This window comes from Homo sapiens, chromosome 2 (assembly GCF_000001405.40).
Source record: "Homo sapiens chromosome 2, GRCh38.p14 Primary Assembly".
NCBI classification, from domain to species: domain Eukaryota; kingdom Metazoa; phylum Chordata; class Mammalia; order Primates; family Hominidae; genus Homo; species Homo sapiens.
Genome location: NC_000002.12, coordinates 207,227,610 through 207,251,984, shown reverse-complemented (window position 1 = coordinate 207,251,984; position 24,375 = coordinate 207,227,610). Strand labels below are relative to the sequence as shown.

At 44.0% G+C, this 24,375-nt stretch overlaps 2 long non-coding RNA genes across 2 annotated transcripts in view; one reads left to right on the top strand and one right to left on the bottom strand.

The window, feature by feature from the left end:
* The window catches only part of MYOSLID-AS1 (MYOSLID antisense RNA 1), a 67,627-nt gene that overhangs the window by 2,332 nt on the left and 40,920 nt on the right, over positions 1 to 24,375 (top strand). The window contains exons 2-3 of the long non-coding RNA NR_110283.1: positions 11,647 to 11,708; positions 14,054 to 14,165. This is a non-coding gene — a long non-coding RNA (MYOSLID antisense RNA 1). The remainder of the gene's footprint in view (positions 1 to 11,646; positions 11,709 to 14,053; positions 14,166 to 24,375) is intronic.
* Positions 6,098 to 12,174, bottom strand: MYOSLID (myocardin-induced smooth muscle lncRNA, inducer of differentiation). The gene is made up of 3 exons (NR_146555.1): positions 11,899 to 12,174; positions 11,686 to 11,784; positions 6,098 to 6,696 (listed from the first exon to the last, which is right to left on the bottom strand). It is a non-coding gene; the product is annotated as a myocardin-induced smooth muscle lncRNA, inducer of differentiation (long non-coding RNA).

Genomic DNA, 24,375 nt, shown 5'->3' with positions numbered 1-24,375 from the left:
ACGTCATGTGTGGGGGCACAGGCCACAGAGGGGTAGGGATTTGACTGGCAGGCTTATATGTGACAGAATTAATCAGTAGATAGTTTTTCTGCAAAAACAAAGATGATCCTATGCTTACCAGGCATCACTCGCAGCAGCTGTCCTGGGCCTGGCCCTGCATGGTCGGGGGCTGTTCATTTTTAGTTCCTGTGACTCAGCATGTAGCCATACCCGATTGGACTGGAGTCGGGGGGCACCTCATGGGCTGGTCCAGTAGGATTTTGTCCACTGGGATTCTGTACTAAGAAATCTCAATGAGCTAATGAGCAGTGGGAGGTTGGAACAGTCACAGTGGGCCATATCCAGGCTGAGAAGCTAGGAGTAAGTAGAAGCTACACAGAGCATAAAGAGAGAAAAAGTAAGTCAGTGGCCAAAACAGAACAGAGCCGACACACACAAAAGGGGAAACAGAAATGCTGAGAGGGCCGGAGGGAGGTGGAGGAAAGGTAGAAATGTGGAAGGAGGGAGAGAGGAAGAGGGAGAAGGGTGGGAAGATGGAGGGCAATAGGGAGAATCCCTAATCTACTGCAGTTCCATTCAGGTTCCCCTGGGGTAGCTGACTTGTACTTTAAGGAACGTTCCTTGACACCAGCCATTGATTCAAATCCCGGCTCATCACTTACTAGCTGTGTAACCTTGGGCAAAGGCACTTAACCTCTCTGTACCTTAGTTTCCTCCTCTGTAAAATGGGGATCAGTACAGTATCTGCCTCTTAGGGATATGGTGAGGAACAAACAAGTTAACACACATAAAGCCCTTACAAAAACATTTGGCTCAGCTTGGTGCACCATGGCTCACACCTATAATCCCAGCAGTTTGGGAGGCCGAGGCGGGTCACTTGAGCCCAGGAGTTCAAGACCAGCCTGGGCAACATGGTGAGACTCCATCTCTACAAAAAATTTTTTTAAATTAGCTGAGCATAGTGGTATGCAACTGTGGTTGTAGCTACTGGGGAAGCTGAGTCAGGAGGATTGCTCGAGCCCAGGAGGTGGAGGCTGCAGTGATCAAGATCATGTCACTGTACTCCAGCCTGGCCAGTAGAGTGAAACCCTGTCTCACACACACACACACACACACACACACACACACACACACACCAAACAAAAAAACAACTGGCACACTACATAAGCGTGGTCTATTTTTACTACTGAAGTTCTTGGTTTCAATAGAATCTCCCTCTTACTACCTCATATAAATCCTGATAATAGCCCCCACCCCCAACCCCAGTTTAAATTGAGTACATTTGTGGGTATCTGTTCCTTATGATCAAAACCAGCTTAACTAGAATACTTCAAGAATACTTCCTAAATTTTTGAAAGTAAAAAAAAGTCATATTTTCTTTTGAATTTTATAAATTTAGGATAAAAAGAGAAACCAAGCATGTGCCTTATGGGAACAGAAATGAGTAGAGTAAAAGAAGAGACTTTCCAAATGTGTACATTGTCAAAACAAGTTATCACTAATTTGGGCAAACAGGGTGGGGCAGCTTCACCTTGCCTTTCCCCAGGGCTACTTCCTGGGGCTGAATGCTGCATAGGCAATGTTTTCCTTTATGGAAGGTTCTTCTCACTGCTTCAGTATTGAATGCATGTACTCAGGTTTTGCTTTCCTCAGATGTGTTCTGTTTCATTTATTCCCTGAGGCTTGAGGTCTTCTCTCCATTTCTCGGCAAATGTGGGATTTCTGCATCACCCACCACTCCCCAGCAGTACTCACCCCGTGTAATTTTGTTGCAAGTGTTTACAAGCATAGGCAACAAAGTTCCATGTTGAAATACCAAGAACAAAGCCCATGGAGATGGCCCACAGTGGCTAACATTGTCCCAGAAAGCGATTTTGTCTTTTGGAAGACCTGTGGTTGCCCTCCTGACACACTGACTGTAGGAGTTGGCCAGGGCTGTCTAGCAAAAGTTCCACAGACTGGGCAGCTTAAACAACTGGAATGTATCATCTCACAGTTCTAGAGGCTAGAAGTCTGAGATCAAGGTGACAGAAGGATTGGTTCCTTCTGAGGGCTGTGAGGATGAGACAGTCCTGTGCTTCTCTCCTGGCTTCTAGTAGTTTGCAGGCAATCTTTGACTTCCTTGGCTACTGCTCCATCACTCTGATCTCTGCCTTCATTTTCACGCCATGTTCTCCCTGTGTATGTGTCTCTGTCCAAATTTCCTCTTTCCTTAAGGACATTCATCATAGAAGATTAGGACACACCCTGATAGCCTCATCTTCATTTGATCACCTCTGTAACGACCCTATCTCCGAAAAGGGTGCATTCTAAGGTACTGGGAGTTAGAACTTCAACATGTCTTATCTGAGGGGAGAGGAGGACACAGTTTAACCCAATAACACTGACGTATTTGAGAAGTGAGTACCAAAATGATTTTTGGGGTTGCCAGTTTGGTGACGGGGCTTAAAGCTGTTTGCTGATGATGGAATATTTGCGAAGTAAGTCCAGTGGCTATAAAAATTGTGAATCATACCCTCATTGCTTACCATTCTCTTGGCTTTTGTATTTTCACACTTTCTTGGTTTTTATTCTGTACTGGTCTCTGTTAGGATTCTCTGCTGGACCTCTAATGTGCACCTTCCCAGTGTTCGCTATCTCAGTGTATAATGGCACCTCCATCGTTCCATGGCTCAAGTCAAATCCTACGAATCCTTCTTGATCCCTTGCTTTCCTCAGCTCCCTCCTATGTTCAGTCCAGCTTTAAATCCTGCTGGCTCTTACTCTAAGATATATATACAGTCATGCATTGCTTAATGCTGGAGACATGTTCTGAGAAATGCACTGTTAGGCAATTTAGTTGTGTGTACATCACAGAGTGTACTAACACAAACTTAGATGGTGTAGCCTACTACACACCTGGGCTATATGGTATGCAGCCTATGGCTCCTTGGCTACAACCTGTATGGCATGTCACTGTACTGAATGAATGCTGTAGGCAAGTGTAACACAACAGTAAGTATTTGAGTATTTAAACACAGAAAAGGTACAGTAAAAATATGGTATAAAAGATAAAAAATGGCATACCTTTAAAAGATACCATGAATGAAGCTTGCAGGACAGGAAGTTGCTCTGGGTGAGTCAGCGAGTGAGTGGTGAGTGAAGGTGAGGGCCTAGAACATTACTGTAGACTACTGTAGATTTTATAAATACTGTATCCTTAGGCTATACTAAATTTATTTTTAAAATTTCTTTCTTCAAAAATAAATTAACCTTAGCTTGCTTACAGTGACTTTTAACATTTATTAACTTTTTAATTTGTGAAAACTCTATTGCTCCTTTGTAATAACACTTAATTTAAAACACAAACACTTATACAGCTGTACAAAAGTATTTTCTTTCTTTATATCCTTATTCTATAACCTTTTTTATTCTTTTGTATTTTTATTTTTAAACCTTTTTTGTGAAAAACTAAGACACAAGCACACATTAGCATAGGTCTACACAGGGTCAGGATCATCAGTATCACTGTCTTCCACCTCCACACTGTATCCCACTGAAAGGTCTTCAGGGGCAATAACACGCATGGAGTTGTCATCTCCTGTGATAGTAATGCCTTCTTTAGAATACCTCCTGAACGACCTGCCTGAGGCTGTTTTACAGTTAACTATATTTATTAAATAAGTAGAGGGAGTACTCTCTAAAATAACGATAAAAGTATAGTATGGTAAATGCATAAACCAGTAACCTAGTCATTTGTTATCATTATCAAGTGTTATGTACTGTACATAATCCTGTGTGCTACACTTTTATAGGACTGGCAGCATAGTAGGTTTGTGTGCACCACTATCACCACATACATGTGTGTATGCATTGCCCTGCAATGTTCCAGCAGCTACGAGGTCACTAGGTGATGGGAATTTTTCAGCTCCATTATAATCTCATGGTACCACCGTCATATATGTAGTTCAGCATTGATCGAATGTCATTATGTCTCCCATGACGGTACCTGGCACCTCCTCACCTCTCACCGTCTCTGTGGCTACCGTGGCAGGCCAGGCCACCCTGGACAATTGCTATAACCTCCTAAATGGTCTCCTTTTACCACTCTTATTATCCAGTACTATCCCTCCTGGTGCTGTTCAGAATAATGTAAATCAGCTCTTGTTCCCCCTCCCCACTTTGCTTTAAATTCTCCAAAGGCTCTTCATTGCCCTGAGAATCAAACACAAGCTCTTTACTCTAGCCAACATGACCTACAATGACCAGGCCTCTGCCTACTTCCCGCTGCTCCTCATATAAAACCCTCCAAGCCCATTTTCTACCTACTTTAGGGCTCACACTAGCTGGGCTCTCTTTCTAGAAAACTATTCTTTCAGATGTTCCATTGGCTTCACTCCTTGTCATTTAGGTCTCAGCTCAAATTTTGCCTGTCCAGAGCTGCCCTCTGATTATGCAACATAAAGCAGACTCTCCCATTCTCCCTGTATTTCCTATCATATCTTCCTGATTACTTTTCATTCTGTCACTCATCATGGGCCATGGTCACTGTCTTCTCCTCCCACTAGACCAGACCCTGCATAACACTGGTTACATTGTCCTGCTTGTGCAGTTTGTATTCTCAAGGCCTAAAACAGTGTCTTGCACAATTGGAGCATCAGTGAATGCTTGGTTGTTGGATGAATGAATGAATGAATGAATGAAGAATTCATGGACAAGACATGAAAAGAACTTGCAGTTAGAATATATACTATAAGTCAGACATGGTTCAAGGCTTTGTTACTAGGGTTTCTTTTGATCCTCAAGAAATTCCTTAAGGTAGGTATTGCCCCCATTTTAAACAAGGAAATTGAGGCTCTGAGAGATTAATAAGGAGACTGATCCAATAGCTCATAAGCTGTTGAACTGAAGTTGTACCTGATCTCCGTATACTTTCTCCTATGACACAAGCTGGGGGTGACAAGCACATAAGATGATACATTCAATGCTTTAGAAGTAAGAGTGTAAGCAAGTTACTGGAAGTACTGAAAACAATGTTATTTAGTTCTGGATCAACTAGGGGAGATACCCTTTTAGACTTAATCTTCCTGTAACAGGAAAAATTAATTAAAGATTGAAGATTTCCACAGTAGATGGCATGTTCAGAGCGGGTGATCTGAAATAGAAGAAAATTTGAATTTTAATGAAAAAAGTTACCAAAAGGAAAAAAATTGGAATATTTTTATTACCCTGTTATGGGATTCAGCACCAAGAGGCACATTTCAAGTCAGGAGTCAGAGTGCGTACAGAGATGCTCTGTATCTCGCATGGTGCCACCTGGGCATGGTACTATGGAGGAACTGAAAAATATTTGTTGAATGAGTGAATGGAGAGAATTAAAGTATAAGTCTATGTAGACATCCCTTCTCTCTTCCCATGTCATCTTTACTATTAGCAGAGGTGGGGACTGGCGACTTCATGTGGCTAGACGGCTGGAAACCAGGCAAAAGACTTCCCACCAGATGCATGGGCAAATCCCCGGTGCTTAAAGTGTGAGGAAACGCCCCCACCCTTTCCTGGTTCTTACTCGCTCACCTACATGCACATTCATTCCCCTTATGCCTGTGAAGGAGCGAAGACTCAACACGTTACTTTGAAAAGATTGCCAACTCTTTCCTATTATCCTCTAATGGCCCTGCATCAGTCTTTTGTTGGTTGTAGTTACATTTGGGGAGAGCATGATTTAATCCATGATATATTGCATTCTTGGTGATAATGAACTATAAAGAATGGGGTCCTGTTGTAATTTATTTCAATAAATTTCAAATTACTATCTAGAAGTACTAGGAATAATCTCATGAATAAAAGAAATAAAAAAGGAATTTATGGGATCTTTACATTCCCTAAGGAAATAATTCAAGTACCAAAAGAAGAAACTAAATTTAGGTAATAGAAAATCAAGGTGTTTAAAGGAGAGCTGTTGTTTTACAATATCTGAAATAAGTACTTGGGATGCAATAAAAAGTGGTAAGGGTGTCTGCTTACAGAGACCCAGTGTTGCGAACCAACACAAGCATTAACGGAGAAAATTATCCAGGTCAGAACAAATGAGGTGATTCAATTTACAAACGACATAAAAGACAATGGAAAAGATCCTTTATGTACCCAGCAGGAACACCAGGGGAAGCTCTACCTCTTGATTAGATGTAAAGATGGCAGGACAGATTAACACCCAAAGACACATTTCAATGGGAAGCTGTGTTCACTTTGGGATCCTAGAGCAGGTTTCCCAGGCCACAGACTGCAGTGGAGATTTGCTTACAGGTGACTGGGGGCAGGGAGTTCTCTGGGGAACAATACCTGTTGGGGAGTGAAGGCAGCAGGACTAGGCAGAGGGGAAAGTAAACTGCGATGCAGCTGCAGCAGAGGCCTCAGCACCCCACCAGGAGCTGCAGAGCTGGGGTGGTTTTCCAAGAGATCCTGAATTCAGGCAAGATGGGTACAACCTTTGTACCACACTATGGACTAATCACTTGGAATGTATGCTGCCCCCAGGGTGGGGGCACATCCTAGAGCAAGGTGGCTCTTTTCAGCAATGCCTGGAGAGGGACTCAGCTGTGAGCCGTCAACAGCTAACACTTCTGGCAGATGGGGGGCTGCGTGGCTCAGTCCTGAAGAGGGAGTGGGAGTTAGGCCATGCATCTCTGTGTCTATTCTGCTGGAACCAGCACCAGGAACCTGAAAGAAAGAAGATGGTAGAATGTTGCTTAGTGTAATCTATTTTTAAATGTGACGCTCAGTTGACCTTCAGCTCTTCCCTGAGCCACTACAATAGCCTTCCTACAGTTCTCTCCACTTCCACACCTGGCTCCCTTCAGACTGACGATGAAACAATCTGAAAACATAAATCTAGTCCTGCCATACCCCTGCCTCATACCCTTCAATGATTTCCCATCTCACATGGGATAAAAACCCAGCTCTTTGACATGCTTTTAAAGCAGGGTGACCAGATAACTTATCGTGCAAACCAGGACACTTTTGAGAGTGAGAGGAGGCCCTGTCCATAATTGTACAAGGACAAAGGTCTAAACCAGGACTATTCTTGGCAAATTGGGATGTATGTTCACCCTACCTACAAGGCATCTGATAACATGGCCACCTTTCACCCGTGTTTCAGCCTCTTCCCAATGTCCACTCCCCTTTGCCTTCCATTAGATCCTGGAACAAATTAAGCTTTCTCACCCCAGGGTCTTTGCTTTTGTCACTTCCTTCCTCCTCTACTTCTCCCTCCTTTATTCGTCAGGTCACAGCTTAAAATGTTTCTATTTGGAGAGTTCTCCCCATCTAGTCTCCATTGTGGTGCCAATTTATTCTATCCATAGCCCTAACTACTATCTGAAATTACAATCACTAGATTTTAAGCCCCAAAAGGACAAGAATCTGCTGTCTAATCAGTGTGTCCCCAGGGATTAGCCTAATGTCCTTCCATAGGTTTGGTATCAATATGTACAAAGTGAATGAATGAGGAGCTTAGGAAACTGTTCTGAAACAAAAATATGTGTGTGTGTGTGTGTGTGTGTGTCAATGAAATGGCCAAGACCACCACCAAAAGACAAACACATCACCTATATCAGAAATTATACAGGTGGCTGCTCACCCCAAAAAGGTGGACATAGAGAAATGCAAAACATTAAACAGTCAATTTGCAAACACCTAGAGGATCACAGGCTGCTGGATAGCAACCAGCAGTTTAGTGATGAGGAGATACTGTCAGAACAATCTAATTTCCTTTTAAGACAGAGAGACCTTCATCAAAAGCGTTTATTAAGTGTCTGTCTGCACACAGTCAGGAGGAGTCCATTGGAGGTGGAGAGGCTTGTGTTCAGCTGTGAAGCATCAGATTTAATATGTGTCTTGACTTCAACCAAAATCTGATTTTGCTTCTGTGATAATTTCCTTTCACAGGCCAAGCAAATATGAGATCCTTACAGTAGAAGGTAGTAGCAGAATTGTTACCAAGTTAAGCTCAGTATAATTACCAAAGCCTTTAATTGAAAAAAAAAAAAAACCCCATTATTATGATTAAAGGATGATATTTACTCAGGTTAAATGAGGTTAAATTTTCAGGGCTCTGCCTTGTAACACCTGACCATGTCCCAGAAAACAGAATTGTACTCAGATGAGCAAGTGAGTGGTTTTAGATTCCTGTGGAATGGTTACCAAATGCCCTCTTTTGAGAGAGGGTTCAAATGGAATCCTGAAAGTGAAACTTTTGATACTGATTCACACACAAACATCCTGGTGAGCATTGCAGATTAACTGAAATGCCTTTTTAGGGGTCAAAAAGTCACATGCACCTTCCCTGATGCCACTGCCAGGTATTATAAACTTGACTTTTACAGAGACAATATTTCGGGTCAAGCTGACACAAACCCCTCCTATCACCCAGCCATACAGACCCTGCAGATGTGTGAATTGAATACAAAGCAATTAGGAGATTTCACAACAATAAACACTTATAAAAATCTTAAAGGTGAGGTCGAGGGAGATGAGACCATTGGATGTAGTGAAGGTTAAGCTTTTCCCAACTGTAGGGATGGCACAGGTACCAAAGAGCAGCTCACCAGCCCACAAGTGAGATATCTACAGCTGAGAAGTCAGCTGCAGTCCGGGGATCTGGCCCTAGCCATAGCCATAGCATACTGCCCTATAAAGACCCCGAAGAGCAAGATAGGACCCCAACCCAGAGAAACTGGAGTTTGGGGAATGTTGAAAAAAATGCCTCACGTCTGTCCACAGGGGATAAGTTAGTGGCAGCATGGACACGGGGGCCAGCACTGATGGTAGGAAGGCAAATGGGATTCAACATTGCTCCATGTACCCAATGTTTATTAAGAATGTATTTGTGGCTAGGTAATATCCTAGGTGATGGGATACAGCATGAACAAGACAGACACCATCTTTGCCCTCAGGGAGCTTATGGTTTCCAGAGAATTTAGATATTGATGAACCTGATGGGTCATTATATTTCTGGGCCTGCAGAGAGAGTCATGGAGTTTGGGGAATAACTGAACCAATGGGAACAAGGATTAAGTAGGGGCAGGGGTTGGTATTAACTAATCCCAGCTATCTAGAGTAGAGGCCTGTAGGACAGAGAGTCCAGATAATAACTTTACAATCCACTTTAGGTTCTGTGATTCATTATTGCCCTAAGGAAGGCACAATGCATTTGAATGTTTGCCAGATTCAATGCAACAAAGTCCTTGTCCCCTATATGTGCCAGGAGCATTTAGCACAATGGACCACGGCCGTCTTCTTGCCCATTCTCCTCTCTTGGTCTTGGAGACCTCCACATCTGTCTCTCACGTTACTGGCAGTTTCTTCTTCATCTCCTTTGCTGGCTCATTCTCAACTGCCCGACCCATAAATGTTGGAATGTCCAGGTCTTTGTCCTGGGCTCTTGTCACTCCTAATTGCTGTCCTCCAGTGACCTCATCCAGTCTAAGATTTATGCCAGTGACATCCAACCTGTTCCTCCAGTGCTGACCCCTTCCCAAAACACCAGGCCTGCCCCTTGTCCTAACAGGCACCACAGACTTGAATGTCCAGCCCCTAAACCTGCTCCTCTATGAGTTTCTTGCATTTCAGTTCATTCGGTTACTGGACCAAGATCTAGGGGTTATCCTGATTCCTCTCTCTCCTTTGACTCCCACATCCAATTCATCCCAAGTCCTGTCACTTCTTCCTCCAAAACACATTTGATCTCTTAATCTCCATTGCTGTAAACCTGGCTCAGTCTGCATTATCCTAACTGATTCAGTTCCTCCATGTCTTCCCCTTAATAACCACTCTGTGCCCATCAGCCAGAGGAATCCATTTAAACATTAATCAGATATGTTACTCTCCTATTTTAAAAGTGATAATAGCTTGCTCAGTGCATTTAGCATAAAGTCCAAATTCTTTACGTTGGCTTAAACGCCCTACCTGTTCTCTCCATTCCCTCCCCACATACCCTTTCTCACTGTGCTTTAGGCACAGTCTTCTTTCTGTTTTTTCAGACACCATAGTCCAACCTTGAGGCCTGGGCATTTGCAATTCCCTCTGCTTGGAGTGCTCTTCTCCAATTTTTACATGGCCCACTCTACACTGACATTCAGATCTGTCTAAATGTTTCTTCAGTGTGGCTTCCCTGGACACCAGACCAGTAATGCACGGTTATTCTTTATCATATAATCTTTTAAATGGTCTGTATGTTGCTTACTAATGCTGATATTGTTGTTATTTACATGCTCATTTATTTATTTGTGGTTTGTCTTCATCCTTTAGAATGTAAACTCTAGGAGGGCAGAGATATTGTATCCACAGAGCCTGGAACAATCCTGGTTATATATATGGCAGGAATCCAGTCAATCTGTGAAATAAAGTATCTGAATGCCCAACGGCTAGTATTACACCAACCTGTCATGAGTAAGTGTATCAGTCAGGTATTGCTGTGTAGCAAGTCACCCCAAAACTCAGTAACTGAAAACAACAGGCATTTATTATTGCTCACCAGCCTGTTGACTTGTGCCAGGTTTGAGTGATTTTGGCTTGACTTGCTCGTGCATCTGTGGTCAGCTGGCAGGATGGCTGAGGGCTGCTTGGTCTAGGAAGACTTTACTCATATGTCAGGCAGCTGTTTGACAAACAGTGATGGTGACAGGATGACTGGGCCGTATGTCTCTGTCATCCAGTAGTGTGAGCTTGTTTGCAGGGTAATCATGGGGTCTGAGAGAGAGAGGGAAGAAGTGCCCAAAACCTGTTGAGGCTGAGGCTCAGAACTGGCACATCATCGCTTATACCACATTCTGTTGGTCAAAGTGAGTTCCGAGGCAGGCTTAGATGTAAGGGATGGAGAAATAGACTCCACTTATTGATGGGTGCAAATGCAAAGTCACATTGCAAAGGTGTGGCCTCAGGCAGGGGCAAAGGGCTGAGGGTATTTTTGCAATTAATCAACCATATTAAGGATGGCAATAAAAGTGGTGACTTTTCATTGCCACATTCTCCCTCCCAGACCAAGGCATAAAGGGCATGTACAGGCTCAGAAGTACCTTTTCCTCCACAGGAAAAGGGCTGGCCACAAGATACAGTGTGTTCTTGGTTGCACAGCTGTGGTGACTGGGGAATCGGGGGACCTGGTCCCTGCATGCACCACTGCTGGAGAACTGTGTGGACTCATTTGTGGCCAATGAAAGCCACAGAATCCCCAGTCCTTCCTGATACTCACTCAGTCACAAGGAGCCAGCACATAACTGAACATATGTATGTGTGTGTGCATGGTGGGGCCTAACACAGGTGCTAATACCCCTGTTGAACACCCCCCAGAGAAGGCAGCAAACACCAGGCCTTCTTTTAGCACCAGATGGCTCCCATTTTGCAAGTATCTGGTAGAAAACAAGGATAAATCAAAGTCCCAAAGTTCTCTCCCTTCCTCTCTCCCTCCTCCCAACCTCTCTGTCTCTCTCTTAGAATTGGGGTCTCACTCTATTGTCCAGGCTGGAGTGCAGTGGCACTATCACAGCTCACTGCAAACTCAATCTCCCCCGGGCTCAAGTGATCCTTCCACCTCAGCCTCCCGAGTAGCTGGGACTACGGGTGTGTGCCACTGTACTCAGTTAATTTTTTATCTGTCTCCTCTTTGAATAGAGCTCAAGTGATTCAGAATGAAAAGACCTTGGCACAGACCTGTTAAGGAAGCTCCATATAAGGTGAAGAAAACAACATGCTCAGCCATGTCCTTGCCTTCTGCACACGGTAGTGCATTCACTGCCTGAGAATTCAAGGCTAAAACAAAAAGAGGAGCTTTTGTTCCAACAGATAAGTACTTACCTTTTTCAAAAAATGCATAAGCTGTCCTGGGTGTTTAGCAGTTATTCGCACAGCTTTCCAAAGACTCACAGCATTTAAAAGCTAACTCTACAGAGATTCAACAGCTTCTTCCAGATCCCACCACAGTGGAAAAGAACTCCGGTGTCCTGGCTCCCTGTCCAGCTCTTCTCTCTCCCCTTCCAGCTGCCAGTTCAGCTTTAAGAAGTTCATTCTCCACATTCAGATGCAGGCAAATGCGTTTGACTTGAGCATATTGATTTCAGGCAGGTGAGAGTGGATGTAGCGATTCAGCTTGACAAATATTTAGATCAGTTAAGTGTCCTTTATAAAGAAGCACTTGAACTCAGTGTTTCCTTTACCCGACCATTTCACTCCACAAGCTACCTCCCCAGCATAAAATATTCAAATTATTTCTAAATTTCATCTACTGAAAAAATACTTCTAGGCCCTATAGCTACATGATATCTCCACTGGGAGCCCTGTCCTTTCCATGCCCTGGGAAAACCCGATCTAAAGCAGATTTAAATGACTCAGCAGTAGGACTCAGGTCTCTGTCTCTGCCTGCTTACTTGGGGAGTGCTCCAGCCTTAGGGGCTCTCTTGCACTCCAACATAGGAAAGAAATTATCGATGGCTCCATTCCCCAGCATTTGAGACTTTTCTTCCCACAGACACATTCCTGAGGACACCAGTCATGGGTAAAGAACTCCACTGGGGTCAGCGTTGGATCCCACTAGGCAGTTTAGGACTTGTAAGTAGAGTAGTGTGGACTTGGTGTTCCCAGAGCCTCTCACTCATGATTCATGGCTCTCCACCCCAAGCATCGGAACTTGCCCAACTTCACCACAGAAGGAAACAGACTGTAAGCTTGGAGGGCCAGGGAGGAAACCGGAGGCATGTGTGGGAGGATTAGAAACATGAAAAGATATTTACAGTAAGGTTCGCTTGTCATCCTCTTGAACTGGGGGTGCATAGAGTACAATAAGACCCCATGTGAGTATGTTAGATGATAAGGCTCAGGTTGGATGGGTGTGTAGAGTAAAGGCTTTGCATCACCTTTGCCAGGGTGAGGGAAGGCTATGGATAGCACAGGGGACCTTGATGATCGGGTGAGGGAGCCCATGTGGACATAGTGGTCACCAGCTACTTCCTAGTTCTCTACATGGGAGAAAGAGCCCTTCTCTGTAATCATGGAAGCTCAAGTTCTTGGTGGTTCAGAGGTTAGAGACCTCTGATTACTAGGACAGAGCAGAATAGCAGGGCTGGTCCTGGTAGATCAGACATCTCATGACATCCTTTAAAAGGGACTAGAATATTCAGAACTCCGGTGTAACTAAATGATCCTCAAGCTTTACCAGCAGGTGAGCAAGGTCCCATTGTATTTGGTACTCACATCCCCACCAATTCTGTAAAAGTTTGCCAACTTTCCCCTCCATCCCCTGCACCCTTTCACCAAAAGATATGCCTAAGAGTTCCCAAGAGACGTCTAACATAGGCCTGCATGTCAGCCCAGTCTTCTGGGCTGAGCTGCTGCACTGTTGCTGGCCTTGATGGCTGAACCTGATCTCTGTTGTGGCACCCACCACTCTTTCTCAAGCCTTGACACCTTGGCAGGCTTTGGCAAAAAGAGGAGAGCTGTTCTTCCTCGGCATTATGTTCACTTAGCAGGGTCCCACAGCAGGATTGCTTGGACCCCAGAGTATTGTAGGGCTTAATAAGACCAGCCCTTTCATCTCACACGCTCTATCCTTTCTCTCACTGGTGCACCCACGTCAGGTGTCTTGAGTGGGGAGTGCTCGAATATCTGCCACCAGCTTGAGTCAGAACCTCGACTTCCCTCAGCTTTTCAGGGTCTGTTACTGAGTCTGGTCCACACTCCAGGGTCTTTTCCTCACGGTCTGGGTCTGGTCTTTTTCAGGTGCCTACCTTTCCTCCCTGCAAACTGCCTTGAGTTGCCTCCCCTTCTCCCTTCCTTCCTGGTCTGTCAGAGACATCTTGTCTGGGTGCATATTTGAACCCCATCAGTAGACAGAAAACATGTATTTCCTTGAAGGCCCCTCAGACCCCAGGTACAAACATTGAAGTAAATAACAGCAGGGATGGGGGTTCTGCCTCGCTTCACCTGCCAGCCACGTGCAGACCTTGTTTCAGTCCAACTGAGACTTTAGCAAGTGCTTCATTCTGGTTTGTGAATGGCTTCCCAGTGTCTGTCACTGTGTTCACAGGGCCACCGGGGTTGGCTGAGTCAGAATACCAGCCATGTGGCATGTCGCATGGGGCAAGAGCTGTGCTGCCCATGGGAGTCCAGAGAAGGAGCACACTAAGGACCAACACCAGGTAGGCCTTGCCCAAACAGGACTCTAAAGAAGTTGGCCAAAAGAGGGTTGCAGATCTAGTAGTTTAGAAGTGGTGCCAAGATAAGGTCAGATTCCTTATCTTGAGCCACCTTGAGGGTGGCTGTCCTGACCACCTGCAATTGTTCACTACTCACCTGTATAGGCCAGATTGTGTCTGCCAGGCGGATGGACCAGGCTGGTTTGAAGGACCAGGGCAGATTACATGCCCCAGACAGGTGTTATACAGTGGTTAAAGCTCCTCCTTGTGTTTAAAGGATTATTTACAAAATGTAAAAAGACCCAAAGACTTTCATTCCTTTGTAATGTTGGGATTAAAATCTCAACTAACAGTAGTCTAACTGGATTGGAAATGGGGGATTTCCTATGGAAATTTCATTCTTTTGAATTCCAGCTGCATACACAGTAGATTTTTTCCCCCTATAAATGAAAGTGTATGGCAATCTGGGTATTCTCTTATTCAAGTAAAGATAGTAGTAAACTAAATATTTTTTAGTGAGAGGATTGCTTTATATTCTGCTTTTTCTGCTGTTGTTCACTAGGGCTTCTAATACAAATGTAGTATCACCCTCAATCAGCTCTTCTTATAATACCTGTTGTGTATGATGATGTGGATGCTTAGGGGAACAGGATAGGGGATCTCTTGTATTTCAGGGGATGCAGGCATGAGTGGATGGCCCAAGGTCAAATAATGAACTGAAGTTCATTATCTCTGTTTCCAGCTCTGCAGATGAGCAATATCATCACAACTAACCAATTGATCAATTATTCATTCAGTCATTTAATGAGAAGCTACTGTGTACCCATCCTTTCCTTGGCCTTCTGGACAGTTAGACATGGTGCCTGTCTTCAGATTGCTCACACACCAGTTGGAGACACAAAAGTTACATGCAGTAAGCAACAATCCCTAAATGCTCAACAGCTCACCAAGCCTGAATAGAGAGGAAGAGACCTTGGTGTGGCCTGGAAGGAAAGAGCAGCTTTGGGAAGGAGTGGCATAAAAGAGAGAACTTAATTCAGCAGTTTTTCTTCCTCTATGCCCAGATGGTATTACATGTGTTACTGGCCAGTGTTGGGTAACAGTGGCACTGATGTGGTCACTAAGGGGCCCTTGGTACCAGGGCTGGGACAAGGGTGGGGAAAGCAAGACATCTAGGCCCTTCAAGAATGAGCACCTCCCTAAATGATGTGCGTAGGTTGTCCCTCCCTGGCCTCTACCTAGTCCCAGTATGCTTTCTCTGCCTCTCTCTATTTCATTCTCTAGCTCCACCTTCTTTTTATTAGTGTTATTTTTTCTCCCTCCTGGTTGTTTTTCTCCATTCTTTCTCTTCTTTTTTTTTTTTCTTTTCCTTTTTACTAGTCTACTTCTAATACTCTTCCAGTGCCCCTCCGTAATCCATTCCAGAAGTTGCTGTATTCTTATGTAGACTGGTGCTAGAGGTCATGGGGTGGATGTAAACAATGTCTGCAACCTGCCTTAGCATTGTTATTTTTAATCCTGTGATAACAATAGTACTGACACATATTACAAGTCATGTCTTTGGATCTAGTTTCTGAGAAAGCCCAAGTTCTTTTTATGAAAGAACACCCATGTAAAGGAATGAGATGATCTAAGTTACATGAAGAAATTAACTGCAACAAAATGATATTAATACATTTGATATTCTTGGTCAACTAATGCTTCTAAACATCTTCCCTTCAGAGCATAAGCTCCTTTCTCATCTTATTCTCCACAGACTCCTCTCCATTGGATCTCTAGCACCTAGAATAGAGCTGGGTACACATGATGAGGTGCTTAATACGTATTTGTCAAATTGAATGTCAAGTTTTAGGAGTTTAAAGAGTGTTTTCAAATGGGGAGAAGCCGAGACACAAATAGTCTCAGGAATGAGATGAAATTATTTAACCAATTGGAGATGAAATTCGAAATGGAAACTATGACATGACTCAACATCCTCAAGCCCTGAAGTAATAATTAGCACATAAAGTTGGTCTGTTATGGACTTTGTGTTGTGCTCCCTGCAAAATTGGTATGTTGAAATCCTAACCCCCAATGTGATGGCATTGGGAGGTGGAGCCTTTGGGAGGTCATTAGGTCGCAAGGTTGGGGACTCATGAATGGGATTAGTGCCCTCATATGAAGGATCAGGAGAGAGCTTGCTTTTTCCTTTTTCTGTTCTCTACTTTGTGAGGATACAGAGAGAAGACAGCTGTCTGCAAACCAGAAAGAGAGTCCTCACTGCACTTCATATCTGCCAATGGATCCTTGCTCTTGAACCTCCCAACCTGCAGAATCATGAGAAACAAACATTGTGTAAGCCACCCACTCTACAGTAATTTGTTCTAGCAGACCGAGCTGACTGAGGTATGGTCTCATCACGTAACCACTTTTAACCTTAGTCTTTCTATCTGTAAAGTAAGTGGGTTAGAGAAATCATTCTAGAAGATGTTTCTGCTTTAAAACAAATTCTTCTATTTCCTTTCCAATGTGAAGTTTGGGTGGTCCCATTGTAAATGACTCCATTTGATTTTGGTTTTGAATTTATTGTCTTTCTTCCCACTTTCATCTCAGGTACTTAGTGCCGGTATGTGCTTTTGATCACAGCCTCAGAAAATAGAACAGTGTGTGGCATTGGGAGGTGGGGCCTTTGCTTAGGAGCTTTGAAAACAGAAGTAATTTTCTTGTCTGCATGTTCACAGTTTAAGCCTAAGTTCTTTAAGTTTTAGTCTGTATTAGTATTGGTTTCAAACATTTAATGTATGGATTATTCCTTTGGTTCCTGTATTCCTGCTTTCATAGGCATATTGACTTGTTAAATAAGGAAAATTAACTGAACTGTAGCCTAAGAATCAGAATCTTCAGGGCTAAAAGGAAAAATGTAGAGTTTGGTCACATCTCCACCCTGCTTTCTTCTGGGACCCTCGGGGTAAGGTAGCTGGTATTTGGTTGACATGGTCCAGGTATTGAATAGATGTCCATGCTTTCCTTTTCTTCAAGAATGAGGAAGTTGTCTTCAGATGCTGAAGTCGGAGTCTACATAAATAGCTGGGATATTATATCTGAGCAACCTTGGAGGAACAGTGTTCACCCTGCCTTTAGTTTTCTGCTAATGTTGTCCAACATTCTTTCCCAATTTGGTCTCCTTCTTCCTCTCCATTTTGGCAGTTCCACTGGCCTTCTTTTCTAATCTAGAAATGGTGATAGGGATGGTGGCTGCAAACACCAGAGAGGAGTTGGCGGAGGGGGTAGGGATGGTGGGGGGAGGCTATTCTTTGACGAGGAATAAAACAGAAGCCTAACTGTAAGGCCATCAGTTCACCCTCTGAGTGTGAGCAGCAGATGATAGCTTCAGATTATCTGGGAAGACAGTCACCTTTTAGAGCAGGAGTTGCAAACTGGCAGACCAGCAGTGAAATTTAGCCACAAACGTAATTGTTCAGCCAGCAAAGTGTTTGGAATATATTTTACAAAGGTCCACAGGTCTTACCACCCCTAATGTCTTGTTCTGGACCTGACACACACTCATACAAATTGCTTGTCCCTTTGTGGGGAGTTTTCTTTTACAATCTAGAGTCTGATCTCAGATAAAACTTCTTCTCCTACCAAAAGAAGATCCACACCAACTCATCATCAACTCACTTTTTCTCCATCTTTAGTTTAGGCCATATCAAAAACATTGATAACCATCTCTGTAGACAGTAACCGCAAAAATTGCAAAAATTAATATCCAGATTCACTATTAGAAATCGGCTGACTCCATGTTTTACAGCCTCTCGTTCAACTTTTCTCTGCTGTGCTAGACATGTGACAAGCCAAACTCTCTCTGTGTTGGTCTTCACTGTGCTGAGCTCTGTTGGAAGCCTCTGGGAGCTCAGTGTGCAAAGGAGATAAGCCAGGAGCATGATGCTTGTTTAATGGTTCTCTCTGCAGTGTCCTTGTTTTCTCAGCTCCTTTTTTCTTGCCCATTTCCTTGGCCTTTTATCATAAATTCCCTGTGTTGTTTATATACCACTCTTGGCAGGATTGCCCACTGTATTCCTTCATTAGCTTGGTTTTATAAGGGAAAGGACACTAGGTGTCTTAGTCTGTTTGGGCTGCTATAAAAATACCTTAGACTGTGTCATTTATAAACAGAAATTTCTTGATCACAGAATTTTCTTGCTTCTGGAGGCTGGGAAGCCCAAGATCAAAGCACCAACAGATTTTGTGTCTGGTAAGGTCTCATCCTCTACTTCATAGATGGCACCTTCTTGCTGTGTCTTCACATGGCAAAAGGGGCAAACAAGCTCCCTCAGGCTTCTTTTACAAAGTTACTTAATACCACTCATAAAGGTGGAGCCCTTGTGACCTAATTATCTCCTAAAAGTCCCCACCTGTTAACACTACTGCATGGAAGATTAGTTTTTAACATATGAATTTTGGAGGGACACAAACATTCAGCCTACAATACCAGAGTACTATTTGATGTTTTCTCTCTGTCAGCATTTTGATACTCACATATACTGGAGCAACACTTTTTTTTTTTTTTTTTTTGAGACAGAGTCTCTCTCTGTCACCCAGGCTGGAGTGCAGTGGCACAATCTTGGCTCACTGCAACCTCTGCCTCCCAGGTTCAAGTGATTCTCCTGCCTCAGCCTCCTGAGTAGCTGGAATTACAGGCATGTACCACCACACTGTGCCCAGTTAATTTGTTGTATATTTAGTAGAGATGCGGTTTCACCATGTTAGCCAGACTGGTCTTGAACTCCTGGCCTCAAGTGATCTGCCCACTTCAGCCTCTCAAAGTGCTGGGATTACAGGCATGAGCCACCTCACCTGACCAAGCATCACATTTTAATAATTTCATGTAGCACCCTTTGGCCAAGCAGCTGTTTTCTCTTTCTGGACCCTACTTCATCACCTTACAGAATTTCATGGTGTCAAACGTCTCTGATGTCAGAGATTTGCCTACCCCAAAGAGCATTTTCTCCTCTTCACTTCTGTGTAAGAATCTGGAAACCCCAAACACTTGGAAGGTTAAAGGGAAGGCCATTTGATTATCTCTAGGATAGCACAGAAGCGAGTCCTACTGGGCGGACTGCGTAGGGGGTTGGGTTTTAAGACCTCTTCAGTCTTTTCTAGCTTTTCTTTTTTTTTTTTTTTTTTAATTTAATGCAATAAGTTCATTGGGAAGTGTTCTCAGGGTCAACATTGTTGAGGGAGTAAGTAAAGCAGGACTGAGCATAGGGAGATGTTGGACTGTGATGCAGCATGGCATTTTTTGTTTGTTTGTTTTGTTTTGTTTTGTTTTCCCATGTCTTAAAGGGGCACTCTGGAGCTGGAACGGATTTTCAGAGATGTCCTGAATCAGGGCAAGGGGACTAGGTCTTTATAACCCACACAGACCAGTAAGTCAATGCAGGATTCCCTCAGGAAAGGGGGGTGTGACTTCAATCATATTTCAGTTCTTAGATTCTGCACATGTGTGAAAGGACGTGTTTGGCTGTTTGTATAAAGCAATCTGCATATATATCCAAAGTCCTCAGAATCTAATGCCTCACTAAGGTATTCTATGATTATTGCCTTGAAAATATTGTCTGTGAATGACGTGGGTAACCACAATTATTAGTAACAGAGTATTTGCTTCAGCTAGAAGGAAGGGGACAAAGAAAAACATAGCATGCCAGGAGGCAAGACTGGATACCAGAGAGGATGACAGAGGGGGTGCGTATGGAGAAGGAGACCTCACCCTCCAATGAACTTCTCAGAATGGAATCTGCTCAATGTCTGCCTTGGGCACGAAGCAAGCCATGTTTTATCTTTAGCTTCTGCTAGAGGAGTCTGAGTATTTTCTCAGCTTACCTTTTCCAATATCTCAGGCTGTTCACTCTGGGTGCCTCACTTGAGGATTTGACCTTTTCTCCTTCTTTGTGATGGTTGTTTTGAGTTTACAAGGAATCAAATATTTTGTGGGCATCCTGGGGTTTGACTGTTCAGGGGGGAGCCAGAGACAGTACAAAGCCAGTTTCCCACTTTTCAGGCTCACTGAGTGATTTGCAGAATGGAGGGGGCTTCTGACACATGGAGTGTGAATTGTGTGCATAAGCAACTCAAAACCCAGGCAACCTTCAGCTCAGGGTTTCCTGTGAATCAGCTGGGTTTTCTGGCATAGCAGTGAGCAAGTGGCATTAATGAGGTAGGCATAAGATGATGCCAAAGGGGCTCGTCCATTCAGTAGGAGTTGGGCATAGCAGTGGTGGAGAAACAATAAACGAGGGGGCTGTTTTATCCCCTCCCCCTCCTTTTTTTTCTTTTTCTTTTTTTTTAACAGTAGCAACGTTTTGGCTGATTAAAGTACTTTTCGTGGTTCCGGGAGGGAAGTGCCTTTTGTACTACACACTAGAATGTCAGTTCTCATTACTGAACCCTGGCTGTTCAAATGCTATCTGAATTCTCCCCAAGGCCTCCTTGGGGAGGCTGTAGGCAGAAATTTCAAGGAGCTTATGCCAATTATTTTCTTTCTATCTACATATTGATGGCTCACCCACAGTAATCATGTGAGTCAGGTGCTATGAACACAGTTTCCTTTATTTCATTCATGACTTTTAAGACAGATAAGTTTTTTTTTTTTTTAACACTTTTTTCCCCTTAGCCTCTGCAACTGCTATTTGTGTTGTCTACTTGAGAATTACATGGCAAATCAGAGGGAGAAGTGACCCAGATTTTTTTGGGGGGTGGGGATGAGAGATAATTGTTTGGGCATTATTTTTGTTAATACCTGAGTTAGTCAAGGACATATAACATAAACATATTCTGAGGCCTCAGTGGTGGGAGCAGGTGTCAAACTCTGGACTGCATTGCTTAAGAAGTCTATAATTTAGTCATTTTGTTGTAAGTTACAGATTTTACTCTGTCAACTCACAAGGGAAAAGAGGAGTTAATTGAAGGATATGTAGTAGTCATTTAGCAAAAGCCAATGCTGAAAATCAAGTATCAGAAAGTACTGGAACTAGAGAATTTAAGTAGCAGGAAGTAATAGTCTCTTTAGGGAAGTACCAGTGTTTCACGTCATCTTCAATTTCTTTCCTTTTCCTGTTCAAGGTTAAAATTCCTATGCGAATCTGACTGACCCAGCTTGGGCTTCATTCCAACCTCTTGGCTAGATAAGAGTGTGGAACCTTAACTGATGGTCCCTTTGACTGCCCGCCACAAGGGAAGATCCAAAGTGTGGCAGAGAGTGACCAGGTCCCAGACAGGCAAAATCAGCAGATGTCCATTCGCAAGCCAAAAGAGCTCCAGGTGCCCTAGAAAGGGACATCAATGCCCCAACCTTACACTGTTCCTTGTTGTTAGTGCAGAGTGGCAGGACAGCCTCTGGGTCCCTTTCCCCAGTGCTCCGGGATGGACTCCATGTTGCCCCCTTTGGAAGAAAGATGAATTACAGTTATCCTTCTTGGTAAAGTGATCACAAAAACCAATCCATTTTAGCAGACTCAATTCCAATTTGAGAGGAGAGGCTAGGGCACAGAGTTGGCAAAGACTCTATCTCCCCAGGTTTCGGAGATTTGTCTTGAGTGGCTGTGAATGCTGAAAGGGAAGGCGATGATTCTCTAAACCCTTGTTCTCAGGCCCTCTGATGGCCGCCATTCCTTCAACTGCTCAGATGGGCTCCTATCAAGTCCTAGCAGGCCTCATGTGTATTATTTATTTGATTTTTTAGAAATTGTGCCATTTGCTTTTAAGGAACCTCTGGGAATGAGCATAATTAAGCATAGATTAAAATGTCTGAAAGACTAAAAACCACCATAGCGATACAGTAAAACGAACACAAGAAGCTTAGAAACAGCCTCACATTGTCATTCCATCACAGAATCCCCGTTTAGAATGATACCTAAAAATCAAGCCTTACTGGAGATGATCAAACTGAGATTTCAGCTTTTGGACTTTAACCGTGATTCTAACGATTTGTAAAGAATAGTATGGGACATAGGTCTTCTACACCATCAATGGAGGCACAAAGGGCATCACTCAGATTTGAAGGAGGAGCAGATGAAGGAGGAAAGAAAGAAGAGAAAGGAAGAGGAGGAGAGAAGGAAGAGAAGAAGTAGCGGGTGGAAAAAGAGGAGGAGAAGGACCCCCTGAAACTCCTAAAAAAAACACTGCAGGGGATTCTGGTGCCCACCAATGTCTAGAATTTTGCTACGAGCCAAGTAATGTTCTGGGTAAGACAAACAAACTGTCAAGTGCAGAGACATTAAACAAACAATGAAGATATTTATATAGAGTCATAACTTCTATGAAGGAAATTGTGACTGAGACAGAGTTGCTGGGTGGCCACTCAAAGTTGGGTGCTCAGGGGACTTCTCTCTGACAAGATGAAGTCAGTGGAGAGAAGAAAGCAGCCTTGGGAAGACTGGGGAGGAATTTTCCAGTAGAAGGAGTAGTGATTGCAGGGGCCAGGAAATGAGGCAGGATGACGTCCAGGTTGGCCTTTCCTGGAGCATCTGGGGAGAGGAGCAGGAGATAAGTAAGTCAGGTGAGTAGCAGTGGGGTAGGCAGGGCCAACGCTGAGAAGAAGAAGTCATTTCACACCCTTTCTCGGGGCCTGCTTTTAGGTAACTCTATCAGTTAGGTGCTTTGGGCTACAAGTAACAGAATCCTAACTGGTGGTAGACTAATCATATAAATTAATTTTTAAAAATCTAACAATAAGTCTGGAAGTCAGCAGTTCCAGGGTTGGTGGAGCAGCTCAATGACATCAAGTTCCTGGGACTTTTCACATTTTTATCCTTAATATCTCAGAGGTGATTTCTCTCATAATTTTGAAAAAGATGCTTCAACTCTAAACTCTGTGTCCTCATGTGGCAGCGGGCCAAACAGAAAAGAGGATGCAAAAAACATGTTCCTTGTAGAGCTCTTTCCTTTTATCCAGGAGGAAAATCATCCCCTGCTGTCCCCCAGCAGATTTCCTCTTAACACCTCTCTGCACAGACTGACTATGTGTGCACCCCAGACTGGGAGGGTCTAGGAGGGGGTGAGCTCAGGGAAGGCCCTATCTGTGCCCAGCATGGGCAGCTGTCCACAGGGATTATTTGAGAAATGTTTGCCCACATTATCTTAGGAAACTAATGGAGTAACTGAAGTAGGGAGGATGTTCTGGAGGAGGCTGTTGTTTCGGGTTCACTTGGAGGAACAGGGCCAGAGTGGTCTTGGCTGGGGTTTGCTGGAGTGGGAGGAGGGGGCTGCTGGCATGCTGTGGAGGACACAGCCCACCAAGCTGTTCTTGGAGTGTAAGATGGAGCAGAGGGGAGGGCGAGCTGAGGGTAAGAGGTGCAGGCTCTGGAGAGACTCCGTGGGTGCAGCACCACTCACTAGCCTTGTGCTGTCCTGGGCTTCATCATCTATAAAATAGGAGTGACAGTAGGGCCGTTTCAAAGGGTCTTATGACAAATACGCATTTTATACATGTAAAAGCACACAGAGCAGTAGTGGCATGAAGCAACCAGTCAATAAAGGCTGGCTATTATTTTATTGTTCTTCTGTACCATCCACCTCTTCCTATGTCAGATTATTCCACAGTTTGTTGCAGATTTTACACTTTCTTTACAGATCACAAAGAATCTTCATGTGTGCCAATTCACTGGCCACTTGGTCTCTCTACCCTCTTGATGATGTCTGTGGTCATAGCATGAGAAATCCCTTGGTGCTACCAGACCCATAGGGGGTAGAAGTCTCACAGGAGCCTTTGTGAAGGCCCAGCCCTGTTCCTTTTAAGGGACAGCTCACCCAAGGGGAGTGTTTTGAGAGTTTGGATGAGAGTGGTCTTGGAGGTGCCTCAGAACCGGGAACTGCAGCAGCAGCTTCTTTGAAGCTCATGAGGTCGGGGTGTTCTTGGCATTGCCTCAGTTTCTTCTCACTGTGCCTTGGGGGCTGGGGAGAGGGGAGAGGTGATGAGAGGAGAAGCACAACCTTTTGATTTCTTTCCTTGCTGCTGAGAAGCTTTCACTCCCTCCGGAGTCTGGGCATCTGTGGGAGAGCTGGACTGTTTTATAGCAAGGATTTTTTTCCCCCTTCTCTTTTTTTATTTTCCCATCAACACTTGTCAGGGATTCAAGGCAAAAAGCCTGGCAAAGGCCTGGGCTTCTGCACCAGCGCAGGCAAAAGATGGGTCTAAACAGGGAACAGAGCGAGGCATTGTTCCAACACTGCAGAG